The sequence below is a fragment of the Homo sapiens genome, chromosome 14 (assembly GCF_000001405.40).
Source record: "Homo sapiens chromosome 14, GRCh38.p14 Primary Assembly".
NCBI lineage: Eukaryota > Metazoa > Chordata > Mammalia > Primates > Hominidae > Homo > Homo sapiens.
In genome coordinates this window covers 22,111,291-22,128,262 of record NC_000014.9, presented here as the reverse complement: position 1 = coordinate 22,128,262, position 16,972 = coordinate 22,111,291, and the positions used below count along the sequence as shown (strand labels likewise).

Genomic DNA, 16,972 nt, shown 5'->3' with positions numbered 1-16,972 from the left:
AATACCATTTGACCCAGCAATACCATTTCTGGGTATATACTCAAAGGAATATAAGTCATTCTATCATAAAGACACATGGATGTGTATGTTCAGTGCAGCACTGTGCACAATAGCAAAGACATGGAATCGACCTAAATGCCCATCAAAGACTGGATAAAGAAAATGTGGTAATATATACACCATGGAATCCTACACAGCCATAAAAAGAAATGAGATTATGTCCTTTACAGGAACATGGGTGGAACTGGAGGCCATTATTCTCAGCAAACTAACACAGGAACAGAAAACCAAATACTGCACATTCTCTTTTATAAGTGGGAATGAAGTGATGAGAACTCATGGACACAAAGAGGGAAAAACACACACTGGGGCCTACTTGAGGGTGGAGGGTGGGAGCAGGAATAGGATCAGGAAAAATAACAAATAAGTACTAGGTTTAATGCCTGGATGACAAAATAATCTGTATAAGAAACCCCCATGACACAGAATTACCTATATAACAAACCTACACAAGTTTACCTGTATAACAAACCTATTTTAAGTTCAATACCCCTGAACTTAAAACAAAAGTTAAATAAAAAAAAAAAAAAGAAAAGAAAGGTGTCAAGGGACTAAATAACCAAATATAGTCAAAGAACAAGTACAGTGAGAGTAACTGAGGGTGAGAATCTCAGGGTGGGAGGTTTTAGACTGCAGGTAAGATTTCAGAGGTGGAGCAGAACATTATCATAAGACCTGTCTAGATGGTGGCTATGGGAGTTAATGGCTAAAGGGGATTCAAATTAATGGTCTTTAAAGTTGATGAGTTCGGGCTTCTCACTGAATGGCTCATGTATCCTCATAGCGAATCTAACTCATGTCCCTAGTATTTTATTGCATCCTTAGTATTTGCCAGTAAAAATTTTCAATTATAAATAAATATATTTGTTCAGTAAATATTTTCTAAGTACTTACTATTTGCCAGGCACTGTCCTAGATACAGAGGATGCTTCAGTGAATAAAAACCAAAAATACAGGCCTCAAACATTTGTGTGTTCAAATACAGGAGAGTAGAGGATGGTGTTAAACAAAAGGTAAATGAGATTAAAGACTGTGTGAAAGAGAAAAGGAGTGTGAATAAAGTGACTGTAAGGACGTTGAAAGTGATATGTCAATCTTTGGAAACTGCTACCAGCACATCTCAGTGCACTTTCTAAGATTTGTGTGTAGATATCTGTTCCCTTATCTTTCACTCATGGAATCAAAGCAATTTCCAAGTATGATCATCATAGTAATTTACATTTATCTACCCATTCTATGGACCAGAAAAATTCCTCAATCTGTGTGAAGTTTCCTAGAATAATTGGAAGCCACTCAGATCCAGGATCAAACTCCTCTTTCCTACTTCCTTTGCTTTATGTTCTAATTTCTTCAATATCCATTCTGCCTGGGAAACATATGGCTAATAAAGAGCTGAGGATGCGTTAGAGTTCTTCCACAATCAAAACACCCATTTTGGCTGCTATTTGAATGTTTGGGGTACTAACATTACCTTTCTATAAGATTAAGGACCATTGACTTTCTCAACTCATAACTCGCAATTTCTACCCTAACATTCCGGACCTTTTGCTCTAACATGTGTCTTAGATGGCTACTATAATCCATTCCACTGATGCTTTATTTGATTCATTATTTTGGGGTTTTCTTCTTATGATTGCTTCCAGTAAGATGAGGTTAAACAATGTGTGTTCAGATTTTAGTGTTAGACAATCTCAGGTTTAAAAATAAATTTAAACTTGATGCTCACTTATTAATACTGTGAATATTAGCAGGTTTTTAAATCTCTTTGAGACTCAGTTTTCTAATCTGTAACATACATCTCAAAATAATTCTCAACCAAATGGTAATAAATATTAAAATATGTGATATACTTAGGGATTTCCTGTAAAGATATTGACCTTCAAGGCCTAAAGGAAAGGAATACTTGATAGGTTAAAATATGTAAAAATTTAAAATTATATTAGAAATAAGCAATAAAAAGGTAATGTTAGAATAAAATATTCATACAAATAATGTATTATTTAAGGCATGAAACTAATTCTTACGAATAAAAAGAGAAAAGAGGACAACTAAATAGAAAAATATTCAAAAGGTAGGAATAAGCATATTGCCAAATGAAAAAGTGCCAATACATGTAGAAAAAAGTTGCTCAAAAACACTATGAATCAGGAAAATGACTAAAGATAATATATCTTTGGATTATTAAAAACTGGGCTGGGTGCGGTGGCTCACACCTATAATCCCAGCACTCTGAGAGGCCAAGGCTGGCAGATCTCTTGAGCTCAGGAGTTTGAGACCAGACTGGGCAACATGGCAAGATCCTGTCTCTACAAAAAGTAGCCAGGAGTGATGGTGTGTACCTGTAGTCCCAGCTAGTCAGGAGGCTGAGGTGGGAGGATTGCTTGAGTTTTGGAGGTGAAGGTTGCAGTGAACCGAGATCCGGCCACTGCACTCCAGCCTGGGTGACAAGAGTGAGACCCAGACTCAAAATAAATAAATAGAATAATTAAGTAAAATAAAAATAAAAGCCGTTAGTAATTCTCAATTCAATTTTTATAAAAATGTAAAATGAGTTCTTTCACCTACTGTTGGTTGGAAGCTATTTAACACATTATATGTATTATATTTATTAATTATATAATAGTTATAATGGATACATTATGTGTATAATAATACATATATATGTATTATATGGAGTGTAGTTACATCCTTTGGAGGGCAAATTGCCACTTTCTCCAAAAATTTTAAATGCAACTTCCCTTTGACATAGTAATTTCAGTTTCAGAAATCTCATTAAAATAAACACTTCCACATACACACAAACTAAGGTGAATCTGTAAAGATGTAGAACACAATGTTCTTTATGACAGTGAGGCAATAGGAACAAATATGCATCAAGAGAAAAGCAATTATATGATGGAATGTCTCAAAGTACTAAATAAGCACCAAAAAGAATAAAGTGAACTTCTCTATTGATATAGAAAGATCTCTAGGACAATTTATTAAATGAAAAATAAATGGCAAGTTAAAAAATCTAATAAATCCAATTTACATGACAAAACTGTGTGTATGTATGTAAGTTTGTGTGTGATTGCATAAAGTTATATGCAAACATAGATAACTGAAATTAAACTGGCTATCATGGTATACCTTAAACTGTCAAAGCTAGTGTTCTTTGAAAAGAGTGTTGTGAGATAGGGAAGAATGAGGAAATGCAGCTAGGTCTTTCACTTTTGCTTTATCTGAGTCTTTTATGGTAAGATGGATTTGTGTGCTGCTTAGGAAATAAAACGTGATGAAGACTATTTAAAGATTCAAGACTTCAAGAAAAATAAAAACAAATTAATATTCATTTGATTTTTGTTTCTTTCCAAAAAGAAAAACCTTCATCACAAATATGCATGCTCTAGTAACTGATGTTACTGCACTAGTAAGAAAGAACATTTCAGATTTTTCTTGCAGAAACATCAACTTGTTTCTGGTAATTGGAACAACTATAACAGCATGCATTTCAAAGCTTGGACTTGCCCCTGGATCCAGACGAAAAAAGCCTTTGGGACAAGCAGAATTATTTTGATTTTCCTTATCCATTCATTTTTACTAACAAACTGAAATGATTTTTTTTTGACATGAAGAAGAGTCTTGAAAATTCTTAACCCTCTTCATTTTATTGCTATGTTCAAATTATGATTCACAGCCTCTTTATCATTTTTCTCAGCCGCATCAACAATAAAGTTCTTATTCTTATCTTTTTACCCTTCATCGTATCTCCCTTATTTACTTTACCTATTTTCCTCCTTCTCTCCTTCCCTTCCTTTTCCTCTTTTCTTGTTACTTTTTGACTCCTATCGACATTTTGCTCTAGGTGAATGCTACCCTCCTCCTCACTTGCCACCAGGGAGATATTGCACAGGTGCAGCCCCATCTGTCCCAGTGTGCGACTCTGACGATGCAATAGTACACAGCAGTGTCTCTCAGCGTAGCGTGGGGCAGGATCAAGGTGCTGGACTTTCTGTCTTCTGTGATGATCAGAGAGGCCATTTCATTGGTTTCATTGTTTTTTAGACCATGAATGATATACTGTGGCCCCTGGGAGTGAATCTGTCGATACCAATACACATACTCATTTCCACTGATGGTAGAGTGATTACAAGGCAGGTTTGCAGCTCTTCCTTCAGCGCAATCCATGGAGGTGGGCTGGGTGGTCTTAGCATCAATTATAGTTCCTAAGGGGTCAAGAAAATCAGATTAGCTCCTGACTCTCAAACCAATGCAATTCTATGGATCAAGGATACAACACTCCCTTAACACTCCAAAACTTTTATGTCCTGCAAGAACACAAAAAATATCATTGCTGTTAATTATAAAGACCAAAGATACATGCCAATAATCAGAGACCCTCTAGGCTGTATTCCATGGGAGCTTGATTTAGTAAACCCATAGATTTCTTAAAACTGAATACTGCCAAGGGCTCTTCTGGGATTATGGTTATGATCTAGCCTGGTATGTAGATGTATGTACTTCCTAGACAAATGCACAGAACAGTTCTCAGTCATATCTAGTATGCTGGATAAAGCACAGGGAGCATAGAGGGCAAACCACCCTTCGGGGTCCCTTGTCCTCAGAAGCCCTCCCTAGGTAGACACAGAGCACTTACCAAAGGTCAGAAACACAGTTACTCTTGCCACCAGCCTCATACTTCAAGGACAAATGAGGATTGTGGACCCAGAGTTCAGTTTTTGTGTCTGATTCTAGGTTTAAAGAATTTCCAGAGAACAGAAGCAACAGCTACTAGTAAAGACTTGCAAGGAGTGCAGCTCTCATTGTGTTGTTGTCAGGATCTTGTCAGCCAATGATAGAGCAGTTGCTTTTCTATGTCTTCCTCCCCAGGTTTAGTCATGTTCCTGAGAAGACGGTGAGGATATCAACCAGACATCCTCAACTCAGGGGGTGTCTACTGAAATCATTTATGAGGTTTAAAGTCTAAGAGGCTGGCACAGAATGAGGAAAACTGATCATAAGGATGTATCTATCCAGACCTTTTCTTCCATCATTTCTTCCTCAATGTACCAAATAAAGTTTCCTCTGCTCCATGGAGCTTGTGGAAAGTGTCATTAAATCCCAGAAGCCTATAGTGAGCTCTGTGTTGTAAGGAGTTGGAAATTCCCATCTACATTCTAGAAAACGGAAGTGAAGTTCAAAAGTAGGAAGTGATGTGCTCAGGGGGAAAATAAAAATTGATAACATTGACACTGAAAGCTAAGTCTCCCCAAACTCGGGTTTTCTATAGAGGTCCCTGGAATCATGTGTTGACTGTTGTCTAAGTAGCCATTTCTCAATATATCTGTTCTTGATATAGTGACTAATGACATAAATGGTGCTGGCTCTCATCCTCCTTAAACTCATGGCCTTCATGTTCATTTCCTAATTTCTATGCCCGTGCTTATGCCTACTGTGTGCACCAAGGACACTGAGGCGGAAAGAAAAGAGACCAGGAAAAGCAAAGAAGTTTGGGGTGACGGTGGTAAGAATAGGTAAAGGAAAGGAAGAAAAAGGTGTAAGGAATAGGGGAGGTAAGAGATGATTAGGGAAGTGAAACTTGGAGAAAGCAGTGTTAAGGGAGGTGCTCTGAAAAGACTTAGTCCATCAGTGTAAGGGCCCCAGAACTTTTGAAGCCATAACACACTTAATAAGAGATCATAAAGTACAATTTGTCTAAAGAGGATAAAAGTGTATCATTTTTTTTCCTGTTTTCTGTGGAACTTTAGTGGAAAACATAAGCTTAGCGTCCCTTCTGCAAGAAAGAAACCTGAGTTTTAAGGTGAAGCAGCCCCCTCTTGTGACTGACTGACTGAATGAACTGTGTAGCTATAATCAGGCAAAAAGTCAGCCAGCAATCTTCTGACTCTTTTATCAGGTTTGAAGGTAGGTATCTTAGTTTTAATACCTCTGTACTCATCTTTGTTTTATCAGTCCTCTAACACTCCAAGAAAGGTTTTAACTATTTTTTAAATTACTTTGTTATTTCAATAATATTCCCATTATAATTCTCAATTGCTGACTTGGAGTTAATTTTTCTTTTGTTTCTAATATTCCCATAATTAAAGGCTAGTTCAAAAGCCCATACTATTCAATGTTTATAAGAGATATTGGCGGCCGGGCATGGTGGCTCACGCCTGTAATCCCAGCACTTTGGGAGGCCGAGGCGGGCGGATCATGAGGTCAGGAGATTGAGACCATCCTGGCTAACACGGTGAAACCCTGTCTCTACTAAAAATACAAAAAATTAGCCGGGCATGGTGGCAAGTGCCTGTTGTCCCAGCTACTTGGGAGGCTGAGGCAGGAGAATTGCTTGAACCCGGGAGGCGGAGGTTGCAGTGAGCTGAGATTGTGCCATTGCACTCCAGCCTGGGCGACAGAGCAAGACTCTGTCTCAAAAAAAAAAAAAAAAAAGAGATATTGGCACAGAATAAGCACTCAATAATTACTTGTTTCATGAATGCGTAGATGAGTCATAACTGACAAATTTACTGAGAGAACTTATGCTGAGCAAATCTTTAAATTATTGTCTGTGCACTCTTTCAGTTTTCTGGAATAGAATTTGAACAAAAGACTACAATGGGGTAAACACAGGGTCAGATTTGTAGGCAAAAATTCAATGATAGACAATAAATTTCCCCAACACGGGTGTGAAAAATCAAGCTACAAAGATATAGAGTAAAAGTCATAGTAATAATATTCCATTCATTTAAAAAATATTCACTAAGAGCCTACTCTGTACCAGATCACAAAGATGTAAGTTAACAGGACAGTACTGCCGAAAATATAAGAAGAAACAAGCAATTACTGAAAGTAGGGAGGACTATATCATGTTGTTACATTAACAAAGGCAGAAGAAAAGTAATTAATGCAATTTCCTTTTTTGCTTTTGGTTTGTTCGCCTTTATTTTTTGGAAGACAATTGAGGCCACTAACAGGTGATTTTTTAATGGTATTGAAAAACCATTAAGTATTTTGCATAGCTCTAAAGAATAAAAAATGTATTTGTCCAATCTACTGAGTATTCGCAGAGTATCTTACATTTTAGAAGATTACATGATCTCTAAGATCATAATGGGTAAGGTTTTCTCCTCCTTTGCTTGATGAAAAACCAAAATAATGAGTTCAACTTATTTTAACTTCTTTATGATTTACCACCATAAAATATATACAAATCTATTATTAAAAGTTTAAATTTATCAAAACTTACACACACAAGAGAATTTGATACAAGGCCAATACCCTCACATGATGAATACTCTCAACAATCTAGAAATGTAGAAAAGAGTCCTTAATCTGATAAAAGGTATCTATAAAAATATCCAAGGCTAACATTGTAATTAATGGTAAAATACTAAACATTTTTTCTCTGAGGTTAGGAACAAGATACATTATCACACTTCCATTTATTATCGCATTGGAATAACTGGCATCAAGTCAGGAAAGAAAATAAAATGCATACATTTGGGAAAGGAATAAGTAAAATTCTTCTTCTGCATAGATAACATAATTTGAATATAAAAAAATTTAAAAGGATCTGTAAAGAAACTACTAGAACTAATGGATGAATTGCACAGTCATTGAATAAAAAATTCCATTGTATTTCTAGATTCTAGCTAAAAACAATTGGAAAATAAAATAAAAATGCCATTTACAATGAAATAAATGAATGAATTTAATTAAGGATATGAAAGTTCATTAAAATGAAAATTATAAAACATTAATAAAAGGAATTAGAGAGGACCTAAATAAATGAAGAGCTATATTTATAAATCTAAGGAATCCATATTTAAATTATCAATTTTCTCAACCTGATCATAAACTCAGCAAATTTGAATCAAATTACTAGAAATTTGTTGTGGTAGAAGTTTGAGAATCTGTTTTGCAATTTCTATGGAAATTTAAATCCTATAGCAAGCTAGACAATCTTGAAGAAAAAGGTGGGGGATAGTTGGAGGAATTGCATTTCCAGATTTCAAGACTTATGTGAAACTTCAATAATTAAGAGAAAATGGTCTATTGGTATGAGAATTGTTAAAAAGATGATTTAACAGAATCATGCCCAGAAATAGATGAACACATATGTAATCACTTGATTTTCTCCAAAGGTGCCAATGCAGTTCAGTGGGGAAGAAATGGTCTTTTCAATATAGATGCCAAAGTAATTGTTTAATCATATATAAACACACACACACAGACACACACAGACACACACACACACAGACACAGACACACACACACACACACATTCCAGATGGGTCAGACATCTAAATGTGAAGGGTGAAGCTATAAAGTTTTAAAAGAAGACACAGGAGAACAACTGTATTATATTAGAAGTGGACAGCAATATCTTTAAAAGTGCACAAAAAACCCTAACCATAAAGAAAGAAAAATAAATTACAGTGGAGACTACAGTTGACCCTTGAACAAGTTTGACCTGTATGGGTCCACCTATATGCGAACTTTTTTTCAATAAATATATTGGAAAAATTTTTGGAGATTTGCAAAAAGTTGAAAAAAACTTGCAAACACACAACGTAGTCTAAAAATATCAATAAAATTAAGAAAAAGATATGTCATGAATGTGTAAAATGCATGTAAATACTAGTCTATTTTATCACTTACTACCATAAAACATACACAAATTTATTATAAAAATTTTAAATGTATCAAAACTTAAGCACATAAACACAGAGTGTATGTGGCGGCACTTGGAGTCCAGAGAAATGCAAACAAACTTAAAGATGCAGTATTAAATCACAACTGCATAAAATTAACTATAGTACATACTATACTACTGTAATAATTTTGTAGCCACCTTCTGTTGCTGTTGCAGTGAGCTCAAGTTTGTGAATACCTACTTAAAATGCAATGCTAATTCTCTCCACATGAGCAGTTCATCTCTCTAGCCATTTGCGCATTGCAGTAAAAAGTCATCTCTCACCGATCTCCCATACTTTTTGCTGTGTTTAGTGCAATAGTGTAAACCTTGAATAACACCATGGAATCCATACAAAATTCCACTAGTGATGCTGGAAGTGCGCCCAAGAAGCAGAGAAAAGTCATGACCTTACAAGAAAAAACTTTATTGCTTGATATTAAGCTGCAGCTGCAATTGGAGTTGCCTGCAATTTCAGACAGATGATTCATCTTGTGAACAGACTACATAAACTTACAGAACTGCTATATACAGTATGGTACTGTAAACATATTTTTTTCTTTCTTATGATTCTCTTAAAATCATTTACTTTTCTCTAGTTTACTTTATTGTAAGAATGTGGTATATAGTACATATAACATATAAAATATGTGTTAATTGATTTTTTATGTTATCAGTAAGGCTTCTAGTCAACAGTAGGTTATCAGTAGTTAAGTTTTGGGGGAGCCAAAAGTTGTATACAAATTTTTGAATGCTTGGGGGTTGGTGCCCCAAACCCTCATGTTTTTCAAGACTCATCTGTACATAGGGACCCAGAAGTCCAACCCCCACCTGGCAGTTTGACGATCCTCCCTGCCCTCTGATGTCAATGAGGCTGAATGGGGACCCTGGATTCTATCTCTACCAGGTAGTAAGGCGGTGTTCCCCTTCCCCTGCTGGAGTGGCATCAGAGAAAAGGAGGAAAAACAAAAATTTTAAATAAGATCCAGAGTTTCAAACACAATACTCAAATGTTCAGATTTCAATAAAAAAAATCACTCAATATACTCAGAACCAAGAAGATCTCAAACAGAATTTTAAAGAGACGATCAATAGATGCCAACCCTGAGATGAAAGCGATGGTAAAATTACCTGACAAAGATATTAAAGCAGCCATGATGAAAATGTTTCGAAGGGCAACTACAGACATGCTGGAAACAAATAAAGAAACAGAAAGCTTCAGGTGGAAATAGAAATCTCAGCAAAGAAGTAAGATACATAAAAAAGAACCAAGATATAAAATGGAAATTTTAGAACTTAAAAATGTAGCTGAAATAGAAAGTCCACCAGATGGGCTCAATAGCAAAATGGAGTGGACAGAGAAAATTATTAGTGAACTGGAAGGTAGAACAGAAGAAATTACTCAATCTGAATAACAAAGGGAAAATAGAATGATTAAAAAAATGAACCAAGCCTCAGGGAATTGCAGGACTATAACAAAATATCTAACATTCCTTTCATCAGAGCACTAAAAAGGAAAAGGGGCAGGGCTGAAAAAGTATCAAAGAAGTAAAAGCCAAAAACTTCTCGAGTTTGGCAAGACACAAAATACAGCGGTATGCTGAGTTTAAAAAGTCAATCCCCAAAGGTCATTTATATAACATATATGGAATTACAAAATTATACAAATGAAGGACAGATTAATAGTTCCTAGGGATGAAGGAGGGGATGGGAGCAGAGAGGAAATGAATATGGCTACAAAAGGACAATAGAAAGCATCCTCGCGGTGATAGAAATGTTCTGTGCCTTGACTGAGTCAACGTCAATATCCTGGTTGTGATATTGTACTATAGTTTTACACCACTGGAGTAAACTGAGTAAAGGATACATATGATCTGTCTTAATTTTTTAAAATATATGTGAATTTATAATAATCTCAAAATTAAAAAGTTTAAAAATACATGTCAACAATATTAAGTACTAGCAAGGTTATGGAGAATTGAAACTCCTTTCCATAATGATATAACCTCAAAAATGCCTTGGAAGTTTCTAATAAGGTTAAAGATACGCCTGTCCTATGACCCAGAGATTCTACTACAACAATAAAAGTTATATAAGAAGGTTCAACAATTTCACATGTCCACAAAAAGACTTACATAAGAACATTTATAGCAGTTGTATTCATCATAGCCCCAAACTGGAAACAACACAAATTTCTATTACCAGAGAAGTAGATAAACAAGATGACATATTCATACAATGGAACAGTATTCAACATAAGAAACATATAAAATGTAATGCATGATTTCATTAATATGAAATTCAAGAGAAAGCAAAACTAATCTAAGGCAATAGAAATCAAAATAGTGGTTATCTCTAGAGGTGGGTATTGATTGAAAAGAGGAATGAAATAATTTCTGGGTTGGTGGAAATATTCTGCATCTTGATTGGTGGAGGATTATTACACAGGTAAGTGCATAACTAAAACGTTCACAAACATTTGATGAATGTTCATGCACTTTACTATATGCATATTATACCTCAATACAAAAACCAAAGAGATACGCTGACAGAACTAAATATGGTGACAACACAAATTCTGTTATCTTTCCTAATATTAAGACCACCTAGGTTTCCCAGACATTTCTTATCTACTTTGCTGAAAGTCTTTCAGGCTTTTGAATCAATTTGAATAAAGTAACCACAGGCTTGTCCTTTGCTGTTGGGCATCAGAAAGCACTCAAGTCTCCTAATAATTTTATTTATGTATCAACCTATATGTATGAATGTTTAAAAAAATATGAGTTCAACTCCACTGGGTCTGCATAGATTTCTCCCTTCATTATTTATTACTTTTCCCAACAGTGAGAAATCTGGCTCTCATGATCTATGATCTATTATATATTTTACTTATACACATTTGTTCAATCCAAATGCTCACATAAATTACTTTAAGAATTGCTAGCCTATACCCCTTGAGAAACAAATTTATTAACTACAGAATGGTATTTGTGTGCCATTCTTTTGCCTTTAGTCTTACAATATCTATTCAAAATACTGTTTTCAAAAATTATTTAGGTTAGTTATTTTCTTCCACATTAAAGACAGTGTCACTGTGTTTACATTATTCACTATAATATTGTTGGAAGCATTTGTTACACTTTCTATTTCTTTTGGGGTTCCACTCACATTCTAATTATTAAAAAATTTATACACAGTAAGATTTACTTTTTGCGGTATACAGGTCTATGGTACAGTTCTCACCAACCCTTTGATCTGTTTCCTATCTTTATAGTTTTGCTTCTACCCATATGTATTAATAATATAAATAAACTCACACAATATGTAGTCCTTTAGACTTAGTTTCTTTTATTTACCAAGACACGTTGAAGATTCATCCATGTTGTTGCATGAGTCAATATTTCATTTCTTTTTGTTGCTGAGTAGTACTCAATCATATGGATGAACCACAATGTGTTTAACCATTCTCCAGGTGAAGGACATCTGATCGTTCCCAGGTTTTAGTAATTATGAATTAAGCTTCTGTAAACATTCACATGGAAATTTTTATGCGAACATAACTTTTATTTCTCTTGGCTAAATACGTAGGAGAGGGATTGATGAATCATATTGTAAGTGAAGTTTAACTTTGTAAGAACTGCCAACCTGTTTTACAAAGTGCTGATCATTTCTCTTTCCTATCAGCAATGTATGAGAGTTCCAGCTGATGTGTAGCCTAACCAGTACTGATATTCTCATATATTTGAACTTTATCCATTCTTATAAGTGAGTAGATGTAAGTTACTTAATATCTTGAGGTTTCAATTTCTTTCTTTATAAGTTTGAAATTATAATACCTGCTTCATAAAACAATATTATCCTTACCTGTTTTTAATCTTATCTCCTGTGAGTGAGCAAGAAAAACAGAGATGTGGACTAATGCGCCCCATTGCTGTAAAGGATAGAGAATCACTCTAATCACTCTAGACAGCATGGAGATACAGATTGGATGTGACAAAAAAAAAGAAAGAAAAAAAAGAAAGGAAGGAAGGAAGGAAGGAAAGAAAGAGAGATAAAAAGGAAGAAAGACATGATTAATGCCTTCTGAAGGAGGTCTTTTATTTTATTTTTATTTTTATTTTTATTTTATTTCATTTTATATTTTGAGATGGAGTCTCACTCTGTCACCCAGGCTGGAGTGCAGTGGTGCGATCTATGCTCACTGAAACCTTGAAGGAGGTCTTTTAAGCAGACTCTACTGATGTGTTTTTGTACAGTAGTTAGGTGTAGTCTTTGAGAAAACCTTCAAAAAAAAAATCCTATGAAGAAAGATTTTGGAGGAAGTAGCCAAACACTTCAATTTGACACTAGAGTCAAATTGAAACTGTCAGTCCACCCCTTGTTTCTGTACATGGGGTCTCCCAGACAGAAAATATTGGAGAATCAAAGGATGACAGCCCCTCATGTGTGCTTAATAAAAGATACACTGGGAAGAAAAGAGAAACAATCAGTGAGGGAAACCAAGAAATATCAGACCATACTCTCCTTAAATTTGGTAAAGAATCAAAACGAGATCCTAATTATACTGGTAAGGTGGTGTTTGTGGTTTTTGTTTTTTGTTTTTTGTTTTTTTACTTCTGATGTGAATCATCTCTGGCAGCTGTTTTGATGGATGAATTCACTCCCCTACTGGCTGTAAAGGTCACTTTTTGATCTTTCCAGAATTATTTATGAGGCCTTTTATAATTCATGTCTGTTTTCTAGTGCTTGTGATTTTGTTAATTAGTATTATTTTGTACTTTGGCATGATTGTAGCAGAAAAACACAGAAAACGTATGAAAGAAAAAAAGAGAAAGGAAGGAAAACTTTGTGGGAGAAAGACCCACCTTCCCCTCCCCTCCCCCGAAAAAAAGGTCAGTTTGAGAGGATCCGTGTGCAAAAGGGCCAAGGCTATGACAGAAGAGGAGAAAATAATTTTTACAATAATTTTAACATAACTGTTTTTGGCACAACTCTGAAATAGCCTTGGAAATGTTATAATGGATGAAAACAACTACTAAATAATTACGGTGCTCTTAGAAATTAACCTAAACATGCGTGTGCTCCCATCCATATTTTTCTATATACATATGTTATTTTGTTTTATAAGTGGCATAGTACTATTTTGTATTTGACTTTGTTCATTTGATAAATTAACTTAATTCCTATGTTACAAAATTTTCATCACAATAATTTTATGGCTACAAAACTTTTTATTAAAAAGGTGCAAAAACTTTATTTGACCATTTAGCTGACCAATCTCAGTTGATTTTAATGTTTAAACTCTCCAATACAGTTGTATTTTTATCCTCTCTTTCCCAAGATAAAAATCTTTGTAAGTACTGAGAAATAAAGTAATTGGTCAAGTCAGTGAACACACTTTGAAATCTATGGCTGACTTTTCCCCGTAGTTAGACCAATGAACATGGCTAACGGAACTTGAATCATCAGCTTCATCTGGGCTTGGCGAATATAATTGCAGTTGGAAGAGTGAAAAAGAGACCATGCCTAAATCTCTTCATGGGTCACCTTCCAGTTTCGTCTAAACTCCTCATTTTAAAAAGAGCTCTTTTCACTCAGTTCTCTGGAAAGGTGGTTACCGCCTGCATAATCTTTATGCTATGTTGGACTGCGTTGCATTGAAGCAGATGAGTTCTACAGAGGTGACTCTTCAGGGAGTTGGTCGTAAACTTCTTTTAAGTTTTGTGTACATAATGAAAAATGTTTAATTTTCAAATCTTCCGCAATACAATTGAGCTAAAACCTTAAAGAAACTGCTTGGAAACCTCTGCTACCACCCAAACAGGGGTCCCAAACCCCTGGCGGCAGGGAATCTGTACCATTCTGTGGCCTGTTAGGAACCTGGCCGCAGAGCAGGAAGTGAGCGGCAGGTGAGCATTACTGCCAGAGCTCCGCCTCCTGTGAGATCAGCAGTGGCATTAGATTCTCATAGGAGCCCGAACCCTATTGCGAACCGCGCATGCGAGGGATCTAGGCTGCTCGCTCCTTAAGATAATCTAACTAATTCCTGATAATCTGAGGTAAACAGTTTCATCCCGAAACCATCACCCCACCCTCTCCGTGGAAAAATTGTCTTCAACAAAACCGGTCCCTGATGCCAAAAATGTTGGGGACCACTGCACTGAAAGATGACTTTTTATATAAATATCTGTATCACAATTCGTTAAAATCCACCGATTCTTCCTAAGACAATTAGAATTCTTTGAGACACCTGTGTAGAAGAAAACCGGTAGTTAAGTTTTAGGAACTAAAACTGCTAAACTCTTCCAGGTCTTAACAGAGTGAATTTCTACATGCATTCCTACTGCCATGGGGAGGAGTTGCTCGAGATCCTCACAGACATTGTGACTTTGGCTTTCTCTGGCGCCTGCTCTTTGGGGAGAGTAGGATGATCTGCTCCTGAAGACCCAGGGCAAGATTTGGAGACAGGCAGCAGGTGCTTGGGGAGCACTGTGCCCTGCACAGAAGTAGGTTCCTACATCTGTAGTCTGGGTGGCTGTGATGTGCAGGGAGCTGTTCTTTTTTGCTTCTCCAAACTGAAATGTCAGTCTTTTCTGCTTCTTCACTTCTCCACTCTTCACTAACTGTATCAAAAAAACGGGATGTCCACCAGGCCTTTGCTTATACCACTGTATATTGCTTAAAGTAGTTGAGGAATTGCAGTACGTGGTGAAGTCCTCTCCTTCTTGTACATGCTGGTACTGAGGAATTTGCATTACCTGTTGTCCATTCACCTCTGTTTAGAAAGACAATGGGAAGCATCACATAAAATCAGATTAGATATTTAGCTCCTGAGCTACGCAGGTCTCTCTCACTCCTCTTTTCTTTTTTCCCCTTTCTGTCCACGTCTCCCTTCCCATCTCCCTCAACCTTTATCCATTCTGTCTCTTTCTCTCTGTTTCTCTCCCTTTGTCTTAACTCTTGTTTCTCAAACAGAAAGTCCATTCCCTGCCTGCAGATACTTCTCTATCCTGTTGGATTTATTCTCTGGAAGCAGTCAGGGACGTCTCAAACTCACGTGACAATTGCATCCATAAGACCAACATTGATGTGATGAGTAGCATCTCCCTCTCCCTCTTCATCCAACTTCTCCTAAATGGGTTGCCTGGTACAAGCTTCTTCCAGATCAATAGAAATAGTTGCGGTCTATTTTGGAAAGTAGATGTGTGCATTTTGGAAAGAAAGGGAAAGAGGTGACTGCAAGTTGAGAAAACCAATCACACTATTTTGCCCACCCTCTCAGAGGAGAGTCTATGTTTGCCGATGCTGCCCCCCTGTGGTGGACTCAAACATTGCTGATTTGACAACAGATTATTTTATTAATAAAGCTGCTTTCTAATTTAGGTGGTATGTATGTGTGTCAAGGATTGGAAGAAAAGAGTTTACTGATGGTGACATTGTTCAAGGAGGAATAATTTGCCTCTTAAAAATGGAGTCTGTGATTTAAAACTAGGGCATCCGAAGAAAAGAGAAAGTTCCATTTTGTCGCTTCCATTGTCACTAAGCATCATGTTGTGCCATGTAGCACATGCTTATAAGTGCCTTAATGGGACATATTAGGTCACAGACTTTTTAATAAATGTGGGAGACACTTGTGATTTATTGTTAGACAACGCATTACCTCAAAACAGACGATAAGAAATACAAATTTCTCTTTCGTCACCCTGATTTCCCTGGTAAATTATCCAATTTAGAGATCATGTCTGCCATCCCACTATGTTACTTTTACACATGCCAGCGTGATGAGGGAAGACATTAATATAATTAGAAAAAAAGTCTTATCTAACAGATAATCAATTTCTATTGGAAAGTATTTGTCTATTATTCACCAACATGTCCTACTCTAATAGCGGGTAAATTGTGGATACTCAGGTGTTCATTAAATGATAAAAAAAAAAAGTGTGTGTTTGTATATACACTGTGTCACGATTTAAACTTAAAATATTCCAAAAAGTATTAAAATATTAGAACCATATCAATACCATATTCAAATGGTATTGGTTGACAATGTGCCCTTCTATAAAAACAATCAAGGTTTGGTTGTAGCTATTTAGAAATATCACCTTTAGGAGATACTACTTTCCTAGGGTTGCCGTAGCAAACAAACTTGGTGGCTTGACAAAAATGTATTTTCTTTATACCCCTAGAGGCCAGAAGTCTGAAATTAAGGTGTCAGCAGGGCCATGTTCCCTCTGA

The 16,972-nt window shown here is 36.0% G+C and overlaps 2 gene segments (V, D, J or C) and 1 further gene, besides 8 other annotated features; all 3 read right to left on the bottom strand.

Moving 5' to 3' along the window:
• TRA (T cell receptor alpha locus) overlaps positions 1–16,972 on the bottom strand; it is a 930,229-nt gene that overhangs the window by 423,870 nt on the left and 489,387 nt on the right.
• Positions 3,939–3,947: a recombination feature (nonamer).
• Positions 3,948–3,970: a recombination feature (spacer).
• Positions 3,978–4,736, bottom strand: TRAV26-1 (T cell receptor alpha variable 26-1). The segment is given in 2 exon segments: positions 3,978–4,265; positions 4,697–4,736. Coding segments are annotated over 2 exon segments (328 nt in total), but the record flags the coding sequence as incomplete, so codon positions are not given.
• Positions 4,255–4,265: a sequence feature (TRAV26-1 leader sequence).
• Positions 4,697–4,736: a sequence feature (TRAV26-1 leader sequence).
• Positions 15,193–15,201: a recombination feature (nonamer).
• Positions 15,202–15,224: a recombination feature (spacer).
• Positions 15,232–15,840, bottom strand: TRAV25 (T cell receptor alpha variable 25). The segment is given in 2 exon segments: positions 15,232–15,512; positions 15,795–15,840. Coding segments are annotated over 2 exon segments (327 nt in total), but the record flags the coding sequence as incomplete, so codon positions are not given.
• Positions 15,505–15,512: a sequence feature (TRAV25 leader sequence).
• Positions 15,795–15,840: a sequence feature (TRAV25 leader sequence).